At 43.8% G+C, this 14,409-nt stretch overlaps 1 protein-coding gene, 1 long non-coding RNA gene and 1 pseudogene across 15 annotated transcripts in view, besides 2 other annotated features; 1 reads left to right on the forward strand and 2 right to left on the reverse strand.

The window, feature by feature from the left end:
* NT5DC3 (5'-nucleotidase domain containing 3) overlaps positions 1 to 1,811 on the reverse strand; it is a 94,920-nt gene extending 93,109 nt beyond the window's left edge. For all 13 annotated transcript variants that reach the window (XR_001748758.2, XR_007063093.1, XR_007063092.1 and 10 more), the window contains exon 1: positions 1,526 to 1,811. Coding sequence is in view for 4 of the 13 variants with exons in the window: in NM_001031701.3 (NP_001026871.1) it covers positions 1,526 to 1,733 (208 nt within the window). In the remaining 9 variants the exon portion in view is untranslated. The remainder of the gene's footprint in view (positions 1 to 1,525) is intronic.
* Positions 1,378 to 1,887: a silencer, noted in NCBI's record as "silent region_4781". NCBI's record gives its function as "represses an Ori minimal core promoter by ATAC-STARR-seq in GM12878 lymphoblastoid cells {active_cell/tissue: GM12878}" and the evidence as "EXISTENCE:reporter gene assay evidence [ECO:0000049][PMID:35858748]".
* Positions 1,918 to 2,187: a silencer, noted in NCBI's record as "silent region_4782". NCBI's record gives its function as "represses an Ori minimal core promoter by ATAC-STARR-seq in GM12878 lymphoblastoid cells {active_cell/tissue: GM12878}" and the evidence as "EXISTENCE:reporter gene assay evidence [ECO:0000049][PMID:35858748]".
* LOC107984433 (uncharacterized) lies at positions 1,959 to 9,376 on the forward strand. Its single transcript, XR_001749292.2, has 2 exons — positions 1,959 to 2,084; positions 4,752 to 9,376. It is a non-coding gene; the product is annotated as an uncharacterized LOC107984433 (long non-coding RNA).
* The window catches only part of TTC41P (tetratricopeptide repeat domain 41, pseudogene), an 86,463-nt pseudogene continuing 76,379 nt past the window's right edge, over positions 4,326 to 14,409 (reverse strand). The window contains exons 15-16 of the transcript NR_027249.1: positions 5,088 to 5,226; positions 4,326 to 4,996 (exon numbers count right to left, since the gene is read on the reverse strand). The product of NR_027249.1 is annotated as a tetratricopeptide repeat domain 41, pseudogene (transcript). The remainder of the gene's footprint in view (positions 4,997 to 5,087; positions 5,227 to 14,409) is intronic.

Below are 14,409 nucleotides of genomic sequence, written 5' to 3' on the forward strand. Positions count from 1 at the left end.
TTTTTTTGTAGAGATTGGGTTTTCCTTTGTTGCCCAGGCTGGTCCTGGGCTCAAGAGATCTGCCTGCTTCAACCTCCCAAAGTGCTGGGATTACAGGCGTGAGCTCACACCTGGCCCCTCTATTAATTCTTAAACTGCATGTAAATATACAATTATCTCAATAAGAATTACAAGTTAAAAAAAAAACTTTCCTGCCCAAAAGCTGGGTTTGATAATCTTCTATATTCCTTTCATCTCTTAAGACCTGCAAAATTCCCAATGTCTCCAAAGCCAGTCTTCTTTCCACCATACCACACAACAGCTTCAAAAGCCAAAGCAAAATTAACTCTTGGCAAAGGGAAACTAAGAAAGTAAGCCACCATTTCATAGAATTCTGCATTGCTAGTCATTTTACGTCCCCTCTGAAAATCACTCCAATTTGCTTTTTTCATTAAACTGACTTCTGGCCAAAAAAAATGGAAAATGTGATCCTATAAAACGTTCTTGCTCACCAAATAATCTCTCCCTATCTATGTGCCACCTCCACAACAAGAAGTAACCAATATACAAATTTCGGTTCTGAATCCTCCTTGGAAGCAACAGCGACAATGGATTATTGGTTCCCAAATGGTCAACGGAGCACAGGAAACAGGACAGTGGGTTAGGAGCTGAGACAGTCCCTAAATTCAGGCGTCACCTTGGCCAGGTCATTTAAACCTGAGTCTCGCCTTTCCCATCTATAGAATGGGGATGTGGAACCTCCTTCGTAGATTACAGGAACGATTTAGAGATAATCTACGTGCCCGGCACTGGTATTTATTAGTTCATTAGTAGTAACAACCGAGCCAAGCTCATTTTATGTGCACCTGGCCATGAAGTTCCCATTCACAGCCTTAGAATCCCCTCCTCACCGAGGTTAATGGATAACCCAGAACCTTCCCCACCTGGACCTCTCCTCTTTCAAACACCGCACAGCTCATCTCATCTCATCTCATCTCATCTCATCTCATCTCATCTCATTCCATCCCATTCCATCCCATCCCATCCCATCCCATCCCAACCCACCCCCACCAAAAGGAAAACAGACCAGCCTCGGGATCGGCCACCTCCCCAGCAGCCCCGCTCTTGGGCATCTCTGCGCCAGCCCGACTCGGCTGTTACTATTATTACTATTGATGAGTAACAACACCTAACGGTGCGTGGGAGTGGCCGGCTCCCAAGGGAGGCCTGAGGAACCCCAGCCCCGCGCGGCCCAAAGCCCCTCAGATGCAGATTTCGGGCTAAAAATCCCAAGAATATATACAACAGCTTTCCCGACCGGGGAAAGGCGCGAGTTGTGAAGTTTCTAGAGCGCATTTTTCCCCGTTTCCCCGAGTCGCTCCGCAGGAGCGATGCTGCCTGCGGCTGGGGGTGTGGGCACCGGGGTTCGCGACTGGAGGCCCTGGAGGTCCGCAGCTGGGCTGGTCCGGGTCCTAGGGCGCCCGCTTCCCAGCTGAGCGCGCAGGAGGGGCCCCAGGCGCCGGGGCGGGGTCGCCGCCTCACTCACCTTCTGTGCTTCTCTTCGCCTCCCGGTAGCGCTCCCACAGGTAGCGCTTCATGTCCGGGGCGGTCCCGGGTGCAGTGCACAAGGGCCGGGCGGGGCCCGCACACGGCCGCCCCCGAGCCGCGGTCCCGCAGCCACCCCGCAAAGCCGCCGCTGTCGCTGCCCTCGCCCCGGCCCCGCGTGCCACCACCGCCGCCGCTGCCATGGTCATGCCTGCTGCCTGCTGCCGCCACCGCCGCCGCGCCGCTCTGCGACTGCTGCTGCCCGGCCCAAGATCTACCCGCGCTCTGCCCTGCAGGAGGGCAGCTCCTGCGTCGGAACACGTGGCGGCGCAGGCCTGCCCTCCCGCCGCTGCGGGGCGGGGAGTGGGCGGAGCCGGAGGCGGGGTCTAACGGGGGCGGGGTCGATGGGGAGTGGGCGGGTCTGGGACGGGGGCGGAGACGGGGCGGGGCGGGGCCGGGCCGGGGGCCCCACGCCCAGCCTGCTGCGGTCAATTTCAGGGTGGCGCGGGGGTGGCCGTGTGGTGTGGTGGCGCGCAGGCCACATGGGATGGAATGATGAGGTACGACCCCAGCGCCGCCCGCCCAGCTCCGCCGCACCTTCGTCCTGCCTTCTGGGACTGACCCCCAGCTCTGGCCACAAGGACAGCGCCCCTCCCACCCCAGCTGCTCTGGCCCCGGCCCTAGAAGGTGACCTCTCTCCGCATTAATGGCCTCTGGCAGTCTAATTAATGGCAGTCTGGACCTCCCCTGGATCGTGGGGCCCCTCTGAGACGTCCCCGATCCCCAGCTTAAATTTATCCAGGAGGACCTGTGAGTGGGTGGCTGGGCCGAGGTTCCACTCATGGGCTGATGTCGGCTGGAGGATCCCAGCCCCTTAAGACCTCAGTAAGTTTGAAGGGCCCTCCCATTACACAGCCTGGAAGGCCAATGCCCGCCCCCCGCCTAGGTTTCCGCCTGGCGGCAGAGGTCATTGGAACATGGTCACCCAGCTCCTGCCCCTGCCCACGCTAACGGCTCGGTGCACAGGTCTTCTCTCAAACCTGCTAGGCTCCACCCGTCCTGTGCCTGTGGTTCCACTAAAGCCAAATGAACCGCAACCTCCCTGCCTGGGGGCAATTCTGTGTGGACTGAGTCAGACAGAGCTTCTGCAGGAAAGACTGATGTGGCCCAGCCAGAACCCTGCTGAAAATCGCCGGGCAGCAAGGACTTCCCAAGCTGTCCTGTGGTTACTTAATTTTGAGCAGGTGGAGTAGGGGGAATGGCCCTCAAGGCTGGCACTCTGCCAAGGAGACCATACTGGCTTGTGTGAAATGGGTGGAACACAGTTTAAGACAAATAACCCAAGGCATTAGTGTATGCTCCAGTTGTGGGATGGAGGGGTCTGGAGGTGTTTCATGGAAAAAGGTGGCATCTGGGTTTAAACTACCATTTATTGAAGGCTTGCTGTATGCAGTATCTCATGTAATCCTCTCAGTAATCCTGAAAAGCAGACTCCATAATTTCTCCAATTTTATAATATAGTCAATCCCTCTATACCTGCCGAGAATCGGTTCCAGAACACCTGCCCCATACCTACATACCAAAATCTGCGATGCTCAAGTCCTTTATATAAAATGGCTAGTATTTGCGTTCACACATACTTCTATATATTTTAAACCATCTCGTTTACTTTTTTTTTTTTTAAGACAGAGTCTTTCTCTGTCACCCAGGCTGGTGTGCAGTGGTATGATCGCAGTGCACTGCAGCCTCGACCTCCTCTGCTTAAGCGATCCTCCCACCTCAGCCTCCTGAGTAGCTGACATTACAGGCGTGAACTACTATGACCAGCTAATTTTTGTATTTTTTTGTAGAGACGGGGTCTCGCCATGTTGCCCAGGCTTGTCTCGAACTCCTGGACTCAAGCAATCCGCCCACCTTGGCCTCCCAAAGTGCTGGGATTACAGGTGCAAGCCAATGCACCAGGCCTCAATTACTTTTCATACCTAATACAATATAAATGCTCTGTAAATAGTTGTGATACTGTATTTTCTATTTGTATTACTTTTCATTGTTGATTTTTTTTCTAATATTTTTATCCATGGTTGGTTGAATTCACGAATGCAAACCTGCAGATACAGAAGGCTGACAGTAATGAAACCGAGGCCAAGAAAGATGAAATAACTTTCCTAAAACCACACAACTGAACCCATTCTTCCATTTGGCCTGCTAACATATAGTATGTAGGATTTAGGTGGGTGACAGGGAAGAAAGTAGCCAATAAGTAATCCTTAACAGTTAATGGTTAATGTTTTACAAATCACTGATAAAATGAGACAATAAAATGTTTAAAACATATGATATCAAATACACGGGCTCTGGTACTTTAAACTTACTTTATGGTTTTAGTTTTATGCCAAATTATATATTTTTTAATTCATGTTTCATAAAAAGGGTTGGTGATAGCAATTGTAAATTTTGTTCACATGGAAAATTAATTCATAAATTCAAAATAGATAAACTACAGCAATGCAAAAATAATACAATTAGAATTTTAATAACATTGCTTCTGTATACTTTTGGATATGGAACACTATGAGATCAACATAGAAACATGGAACACTATGAGATCAACCTACCATAGAAATGTGAATCACCTAAAAATTGTTCTCCTTAAGTAAAATGAGCTACAGTGTTTAAGTGCCTAAATAATCATATTTCTAGACCTTGATTATTATCTTTCCTGTGTACTTCAGAACAAAATATCCAATAAAAGAGTTCTAATTAAAGACAAGTGGAAAAAACAGATGTCAAAAAGCCCATGATACATTTTTATTCTTTATTAATATCATTTGAGGTCTTCAACAGTTTTGTTTCAATGTGAAGTCTTCTCTGCAAAAAAGACTTCTGAGATATTGAAATATAATCTGGGCTATGAAAAAGCCACTTTTCTGATATGAACTCAGATTCCCCAGGGTTTTTTGTGCTAACAGGCCATGGCAGGGGATGGTGGTAAATGGTGGTGATTTCGCCTTCTCCACTCTCACTTTTAGCTAACAAAATTCTTTGCCTTGAAAGCTTTATTAAACCATTCATTTTACCCAAAGATAAAATGTTAGAGGAATAGTCTGTCTTTTTCTTTGAGGCTTCCTTTCCTGAGCCATTCCATATTTCAGCATTGTTTTGTGTCTTCCGTTGTATCTTTTCCTCGGCAGATATGCAAATAATGGGTTTCTTTTTCCCTTTTCCAGGAGCACATTTTGATTTATCTGAAATTGTCTGAGGTGCCAAGTCCATTCTTCTAGCCCTGTGTAATTTATCTGCATTCATGCACATTGCAGAGCTCACTGTATTAGAACTCTGAGCACTGTGGTAGTTTAATTTAACCAAGTGCTCCCATAATGAGAAGCCATTCCTAGAACCCTCAGAATGTTGCTGGCTCATACCTTGAGGCCAATATCTCCGGCTCCGGATCCACTCAATTTCTCTCAGAAGGCTGCAAAAGATCAAAAGTTGTCAAGAGGTCATATATATAGCATGAATAACCAGAAGCATATTTCTGTTTGGAACATGAAACAGAAACTCACTGCAGGATTCCATGGATTCCATGGATTGATGAATGAGAAGATCCCAGGTGGATCACCCTTAAATCAACTGATCTGTATAAATAGCCTACTGCCTCAATCATGACGTGATGACAAGAGTCACTTGCCAATAAATGACCTGCTAGATATTTGAAAATAAGATTATTAGACTTTTTATTATTCCTGGCTTCACACATTTAAAAGAGAAGGATAAGAAACATTTATAAAAGGTGGCATTGAAACATGACTTATTTGTAATATTCTGCCAAAAATATTTAACCTGAGTCTCATCATAAAGAAACAATCAGGCTGGGCACAGTGGCTCATGCCTGTAATCCCAGCACTTTGGAAGGCTGAGACATGTAGACTACTTGAGCCTAGGAGTTCAAGACCAACCTGGGCAACATGGCAAAACTCCATCTCTACAAAAAATACAAAAATTAGCTGGGCATGGTGGCATGTGACTATAGTCCTAGCTACTTGAGAGACTGAGGTGGGAGGATCGCTTGAGACCAGGAGGCCGAAGTTGCAGTGAGCCAAGATTGCACTGCTGCATTCCAGCCTGGACAACAGAGTGAGACCCTGTCTCAAAAAAATAGAAAGAAAGAATCAGACAGATACAAATTGAAGGACATTGCGATAGGGATGGGAGGATGGAACCTGACTTCAACTCTTCAAAATAGTCAATGTCATAATGACAAAACAAAGGTACTTAAATCTAGACTAAAAGAGACAAATGCAATGCAAGATCCTCAATAAGTTAACAGGTATAGAGGACATTACTAGATACTTGGGGAAATTTGAATATGGACTATAGTTAGATAATAGTCTTAGGTAATAGTTAAATTTCCTGGGTTTGATTATTGTGGTTATATGGGGGAATGTCCTTGTACTCAGAAGACATATGCTGAAGTACAGTATTTAGAGATAAAAGTGTCATGTTTGCAACTAACTTTCAAATAGTTCAGAAAAAAAAATATGTATATATGTGTCTGTGCCTGTATATGAAAGAGAGAACACAAATGTGGCAAAATATTAACAATTGGTGGGCCAGGTATGGTGGGTGGCTCATGCCTGTAATCCCAGCCCTCTGGGAGGCTGAGGAGGTAGGATTCCTTGAGCCCAGCAGTTTGAGACCAGCCTGGGAAACATAGGGAGACGCTGTCTCTATAAAAAATAATAATTACAATTTAAAAAAAATTGATGAAGATAGGTGAAGGTTATATGACCTTTCACTACACTATTCTTGAAATTTCTCTGAAGGTTTGAAATTTATCAAAATAAAAAAATTGAGAAAAAATTTTCAAACTGCCACAGTCAATAATTGAATTCTCAGCCTGGCACAGTGGCTCATGCCTGTAATCCCAGCACTTTGGGAGGCCAAGGCGGGCAGATCACTTGAGGTCAGGAATTCAAGACCAGCCTGGCCAACATGGCGAAACCCTGTCTCTACCAAAAACACAAAAATTAGCTGGGCGTGGTGGCACGCACCTGTAATCCCAGCTACTTGGGAGGCTGAGGCAGGAGAATCACTTGAATCCGGGAGCTGAAGGTTGCAGTGAGCCGAGATCGTGCCACTGCACTCCAGCCTGGGTGACAGAGCCAGACTCCATCTTAAAAAATAATAATAATAATAAAATTGAATTCTCTAAAATTTGTTAAAATAAAAACAATCCATTTTACAATCTAACTTGCAGATGGTACTTATTTATTCATTTTACCCATTTACAAGACTGCTTTTAAGGGGCTGAACTTATACCATTGATTATAAACATAACGTAAGGCTGCTGTGTGTAAGGCACTGCTTAGAAATGTGATAAAGAGACTGCTGCCTGTGTAAAGGCTAAAAACACTGACAGATGACCCAGTCAGTGTTCCTGTGTTAACAACAATAACAGCAAATATATATAAATACCATCTGTCAGGACTGTGTAATCTTATAAGGTATAAATTATCATCACCTGTCCACCTGGTTCAAAAATGAAAATGTATCAAACTGTAAAGTGAAAAGTGTCTTTCCCTTCTCTGTCTCCATCTGTGCAGTCTTCTAAAATGGAATCACTGACGTTAGTTTCTAATGTGTCCTTCCAGAGAATTTTTAGTGCCTGTTTCATTTTACTTGTCTTTTAAAGATGAGCATGCTGGATGAGCTTAAGGAACTTGTTCTAGTTCATGGAAGAACAGTCCTGGGTCAGCCTCATCCCCAAGTCCGTGCCCTGCACTGCTACACTAGGCTGCCTCTTCCCCATTCTGGACTGTGCTTCTGAATATCAGCCGTGGCTTCTGCTCGCAGAGATGTTCTCTCTCTGTGGCTCTGCTTCGTGGATCAGACTCTGTATCTCACATTGCCTGAAGCTTTCTCTGGAAATCCTATAGGAAATTTCAGCTGCTGTCTCTGCTTAGCGATCTGTGACTATGTTTCTTCTTTTTGAACTATTTTCATGACTCCCTGTGATGTTCCCAGGTGCCTCAGTCTAGCTCAGCAGAAGACACTTGTGAATTACCCTGTTCTTGACGACCAAGTTGCATTGGCCTTAAAAGGAAAAGTGGAGAAAAATAGAAACTGGATGTGTCATGTGGTGGCAAACACAGAACCCATCCTCAGAGATTCTCTGGGCACCAATAACCAGATTCACAGGTGTGACTGACTCTCTTCATTCTGCCCAAGTCCCCTGAAGAGAATCTGACTTGCTATGGGATTGAGATTTTCATGCGGACAAGTTTCTGGTGCCCTTTGCATACACTACTTCATGCCTTTGCTACCCGCCTCTCTCTTGGCCACACACAACTCCTCATGCCCCTTTTCCCTGGTGACCCATTCTAGACCTGACCTATAGCTTTGACCTCAGAACTTTCTTGGATGCAATCTGACTCAGGCGGCAAGCAAGCCAGGGAAAGGACATTCTTGCCTCATCCCCACCCCCAGTTTATTCCATTTTTCTTGGAGCTGGTACCAGTTGGGTCAACCCAGTCAGTTCTCCCAACCCAGGAAAAAGGAAAGACCAGAATGGGTGAATTTAAATTGGAGAGATGTCACTGAACCTCTTCCCACCTCAAACCTTTGCCCTGGATGGGGAGGGAACCTAACATTTAATTTTGTACTCTATTGGCTGTTCTGTGTATATTATATCATTAAATCTTCACAATTACCCTATAGGTAGACTATATTATAACCACTTGATTGGTAAGAAAATTGAGACTCAGAGAGTCTCAATTGTCCACAAGCCAAGAAGATAGCAGAACTGGGATTCCAACTCAGGTCCCTAGGATCCAGGACCATAACTTCTAGAAGTGAGAAAAGAGAACACTATTCTTCCTGTTTTGTTGGTTCCAGGGAAGATTTTCCATAAAAATACATCTAGAAAGAAAGCATCAGTTACCTTTTCTATGTTGTACTTCTGGACAGAGCCACACCCATCTTATTTCCAGTGGAATGTGAATTGGGGGTGGGGATGGGGGGAAGGTCCGAGGAACACTCTTACGAATCTGTTCTCAGATTTTAAGTAGTAAGTTTTCCTAGTCTCCCCACTTTATTTTCAGTGCTTAACATTAAAAAGATGGTGGAATATTTATTATTTCCTTAGAAAAACAAAACAAGATATTTCATCCAAAGATAGTCCTCTATCCTATTAAGTACTCTTCTAAAGCACAATTTTTCCTAATTTTTATTCTACTGAAATTAAAATTAAGTCCTGTTCCTCTTGCTTCACATAATATTTGCTGTCACCTAACAGGTGGATTTTTGCAATGCCAGTCCAGCGTGAGAGATGTTTACTTTTTTCCCAGGCCAACAGCAACAATCCAGGCAGTTGTCTCCAGGTGACAGTGAAATCTCTCCAGTGTTGACAGAGGTCTCAGGAAGTTTCCCTGAATGAATAACTCAGTGGATGAACCACCCCTGGGAGGGATAGTTCGTTACTGGGCAGCATCCACTGAGTTATTCTGTGCTGGGAGCGAATGGGATTAAGAAGTGAGGACAATCACAGCCCATAGTCTCTGTCTAGATTCTAGAAGATGGGCTGCAATTGTAAAGAGGAAGGAAGGCCTGGCACTATCTAAAGGCTCTTTGTTGAACGTTTCTTTTTGTTTGATAATTAGGCTGTGTCTAAAGTTTCCTTGTCCAAAATCCTTAAGTTTGAGAAACTAAGTGTTTGCTCATTCTTTTTTTTTTAAACTATGAACTTAACCTAGAAGTGTTTGCTTATTCTTTCCATAAATGTGTGTATCTATAAACAGGTTAGGGAAAAAGCTGTGTATCATTGTCCCAAATAAAGTAAAAGGTTGCAATTGGATGTCTCCATGGGCCCTCAATTTCTGCTCCAAAGAAAACAGTAAAAGAGGTTAAGGGGTCCTTTCCCCTACCCCACTCCACTGAAACCGTGGCCTAGTCTGGCCCAAAAGGACCTGGTTGCAGATGGCAAGTAGCGTCCTCTGTTGTCTTCCCCCAGTTCTGCATGAACTCACTGCACCAATTAAAGGAGACGGGCCTGTGCAGGAGCCCCACCTTTAAGCAGAGGGAACAGATTGTTCTCTCTTAAACAGGCTTTTGTCTCTACCACCAAAATTGAACATTCCCTGTGATCTCTGTGTTGCTAAACACAGCGGTCCGTACTCAATCTGGCAGTCAGTTCTCAACACTCTCCACTCTTGGCTTCATTGATTTGACTGCTTCTTGGCCTGCCTCTGGAGCCATTCTTCATCTTTTACTACAGCCCTTTCCTCTTCTCACCCCTTAAATACTGGCATTCTTCCAAGTTCTATCTCTGGCCATTGTCTTGTCTTACATTCTTCTTGCTTCTTTCAACCATTCTACTGAGTTGAGCCAGCAAGTGTACACTAAGGACTCCCAAATGTTTTCTCTGGCTCAGTCTTCAAGCTCTTAAGCACCAGACTCATATGTCCTACTGCCTACTGAATGTCTCTACTTAGATAGAAAATTCAAACTCAACAGGCCCCAAATTAGCTCACTGTGGCTCCCACCCCACCCTACCAAACTATGCTCCCTCTCTTGCAATGCCAACAGCATCATGAACCCAGGTGCACTGACCTATGATATAGTTGTAAACTGGGAAATGCTTTTGGCTTTCTCTCACCTCCCACATCCAATCAAGCACCAAGCCTGTTGGATTTACCTACTAAGTCTCAAATCTGACACTCTCTCTCTATTTCTACCATCCCCTCTTAGTTTACCAATTCCATCCCCCATTTGGTCACAAGATTGTTTTATCTTAAACACAAACTTACTCATGCCCCTTAGTGCTGGAAATCCTACAGCAGCTTCCCTGTCAAGCCCTTGAGCCTGGTAAACCTTGCTGATTCCTTCAGCATCATTCCCCAACTCTCCCCATTCCAGAGTTTCAAACCACCCAAGTTCTCCCTTCCTTGACATTGTTCATGCTGATTCTCCTTACCTAAAATGCTCCTCATGAACTTCTTCACCAGGCACCTGTCAGAACTCACAGCCCAAGCCACTGTCTCTGGAAAGCCTTCCTTCTTGCCTCGTTTCTGTGCATCCCTGTGCCCTCTCCAATGTCCGTCACAGTACATAACACATTGGATTGCACTTCTCTTCATGTGCTTGTCACCCCAACAAGACCACAAACTCCTAGAGTTCACAAACAGCGGGAAGGGCTTGGGACTGGGGTCAGAGAAATGGATGCCAAGTCTGAGATCTACTTACTAGCTGTGCCTGGTCTTTGTGAGCCTCGATGATTATAATATCTAATCCATAGAATTCTCTGATCAAATGTACTGGGGCAGGTCATGTGATGTATCTGCTATTCCCTCAGCTTTAAAATTAGTTCAGTGACCTCTAGAGCCCTTTCCAGGTTTAAAAGTTTTCTAAGTTTATGAGGCCTACTTGACATTTTTTTTGCACCCAATACGGTTTACAATATATAAACTATTAAAAATGATTAAGCCTACACAAATAAAAAGTAAGCTCTGTTAACACACATAAACTGGTTTTCTGGATTAACCAGGATTCTCCATTTCTTCTATAAAACATACTCCCCAATGTCCAGGTAACACTAAATGCCTGCAGCTAGCAGGCTTATCTCTACTTTGCTGGCATACTTCTATTCCCAACAGTTGGGTTCTGGTATACCCCAGAGTCAATTGAGTATGTCAATCTAATTAGGTAATTTAACTGACTGCAATACAGACTAATAAGATATGAGTATGAGATAAAAAGGAGTTGTTTTCTCTGAAAACCAGACTGAATTCTTGGGAAAGGCTCAATACCCTGAGCTGCTAAGAAAAATAAGTCCAAATTGTGAGTGGACAAGATAACTGCAAAAGATTGAGGGGGAAAAAGGCGGCAACTTAGAAGGATACTGCACACAGACTGCATCACAATTGTTGTCACCCTTCAGAAACCAAAACTAGAAATGGAGGGTGATGTATTTTGAGAAGATGACATCTAATTCCAATCAGAGGACCCATTAAAGAGAGAGAAAGAGAAAGAGAGAGAGATATTTTAATTACACATTTAAAAGTCTGGAGAAAGAATGGATTTATATTTAAGTTAAAATGTAAGGTTTGTCTGTATCATTTATCTGACTTGGATTAAGAGACCAACTGCTACAGTTGAAGAGGGTTCTGGCTGAGCTGGGAATTTTAAAATGAAATAAAGAGAAGGGACTGAGAGGGAATTTAAAAATGAAACAAAGAGAAGGGACTGACTCTCAGAGGGGCTAAGAGTCACCCACTAGACACTAGAGCCTTTGTTTAATTTCTTCTTTCTAAATTTGACTAAGACGGTTGGCATTTCTTTTAAACAGAATCCCAGGGAGAGAGAAGTAACATAATGTTCATCTACCACACTTCATCCAAAACAAACAGTTCAGTACAGAACACTCAGCTTGATATAATGGAACATGAAAAAGCCACATTTCTGTTCTTTTCTCCCACTTATGTGGTGTCTCAATAGCCAAATGTAAAACACTCATCAAAGGAGAGCAATGAGATTGCTCTGTGTCAGAGGTAGCTTGGAACATTAATCACAAAAATCTTCATTTTATAGTTAGGGCTCCCACTAAAATCTCTAGAATTAACAGTCTTATTAGGTTAACATTTGTACTTGAAACTGGATTTGTCACCCTCTCACAAATCTGTCATCTCAATATGTGCTTACTATAATCTCATATAAAAATGTGATTTTATAATTAAAATCTTAATTATCAAAAATTGCTGGAAGCCCACTATTTTCATACCCCTTGGAAGATTACACTGTATTATACATGTTGCTCAAATGTAATAATACAGCCTGGTCACATAGCGAGACCTCATTTCTACAAAAAATGTTTTAAAAATAGGCATAGTGGCGCATGCCTATAGTCCTAGCTGCTTGGGAGGCTGAGACCAGAGAATTACTTGAGCTTAGAAGTTTGAGATGACAGTGAGCTATGATCACGCCACTGCACTCCAGAGCCTATGTGACAGAGACTGTCTCAAAAAAAAAAAAGTAAAATAATAAAAGATCAAGAAAGGTGTCATGACATTCAAGCTAGCAATTTTCATTAACCTGAACTCTAAAATGAAATCTGAAAAGTCATCTGAAGATCATTGTTTTCCATAGACAAAAGTACAATTGGGTTGTTTCTTTCAATACTGTTAGCCTGGAGCAGAGCCATCATTTCTGCTGGATAACCCAAGACAAATTACCCAGAAAGAACCTGCTTATCCACTTCTCAGCCTACCTACAGTGACAGAGCCCCATCTACGTACAGCTAGCACTGTTTCTGATGTTTCGAAGATGCAAAGAATACATAATAAGGCCCCTGCCCTCAGGAGTTCACAGTCTGTTTGAGAGGTTAAAATATGCATCTCAGAAAGGAAGAGAAAATGAGTGTCACAAACATGTCCTTTGTGCTCTTTCATGGATTCTGGATTCACAAAATGATCTTAGAATACAATATTAGAAAGCTCTTGTGAAGATTATGCTAGAGGAAAGGCTCTGGGTTCCTCACACTTACCTACTTTGCAAAAATCCTGTACTGGTTTCAGTTGCTCTTATGGTAACACCCCAGATCTTTGACTGGGCCTGAGAGGGCTGTGACCCAGCCCTCCCAACACCTCTCCAATATCCTCCTTGTGCACCTCCTTCCCCACATTGCTCTCTGCACTCCGGGCCCTTAAAACTCCTCCCAGCCTCGAAAATTCTGTTCCTACTGCCTGGATGACTCTTCTCCTCCCTCTCTCCCACTACTAGTGAGCCACCTCTCATCCTGCAGATCCAATTTCAGCATCACTTCCTGAGATGCATCCCCAACCCACGCCCCTCCATCTGACAGATCAAGGTCACCTGTTAGTACTTGTATTTTCCCATGATAGCACTTTCCCCAACTGTAGTTAAGCCATTGTGTATTTAGTTGTCTAACTGCTGTCTCCATGGTAACACTTTCCACAATTGCAGTTAAATTGTGTATTTAAGTTGCCTGACAGCCTTCTCCCCCAATGTGAGCTCAGGGAAGGCAGTGTTGGTCTCTGTGGGTCTGGTTCATTGTTATACTCCCAGGAACTAACATAGAGATTGTCACTTAATAGGTGCAGTAAATATTATAATTAATAAATGAATGATAAGCATATAAGTAATTAACATTCAAATGCCCTTAATAATCAATACTTGCACTTCTAAAGTGGGAGGGTAAATCTGAATTAGCTAAGGCATTTCCTCTATCCTACATTCATTCACTTGGCAAGTGTTTATGAGTACCTGCTAAGTGCCACCCACTGTTCTAAGAGCATGGTATACAATGGTGGAGAAGACAGATCATGTCTCTTCTTTATAGCAAGAGAGATGAAAAAAAAACCCCTAGTGAACAGATAAATATATAATTTCAAGTAGTAAAGTACAAGTTGAGTATCCCTTATCCAAAATGCTTGGTACCAGAAGGGTTTCAGATTTCTGATTTTTTTAGATTTTGTAATATCTGCATCACGCTTACCAGTTGAGCATCCCTAATCCCAGAACTCCAAAATCTGAAAGGCTTCAATGAGCATTTCCTTTTTGCATCATGTCAGCACTCAAAAAGTTTTAGATTTTGGACTTTTGGATTAAGTATGCTCAACCTGTGCTACTTACTTTAGTACCTTAGAGGGTGACAAGGGTAAGGGTTAAATTCCATAAGATGGACAGGGAACTCTTCACTGCACATTTGTGGACAGACTTTAGACAGCCTTGATGAGCTGTAAACAATTTTCAAGAGTTTCCAAAACAATTTCCTAAATAGAACAAGCCCATTAGAGGATCACTGGCCCCCAAGCCTTCCTCAGTCTTAAGTCGCCACTTCCCTACAGGAGAGAATTTCCTTCAAATCAGCAC

Source organism: Homo sapiens, chromosome 12 (genome assembly GCF_000001405.40).
Source record: "Homo sapiens chromosome 12, GRCh38.p14 Primary Assembly".
Classification (NCBI taxonomy): domain Eukaryota; kingdom Metazoa; phylum Chordata; class Mammalia; order Primates; family Hominidae; genus Homo; species Homo sapiens.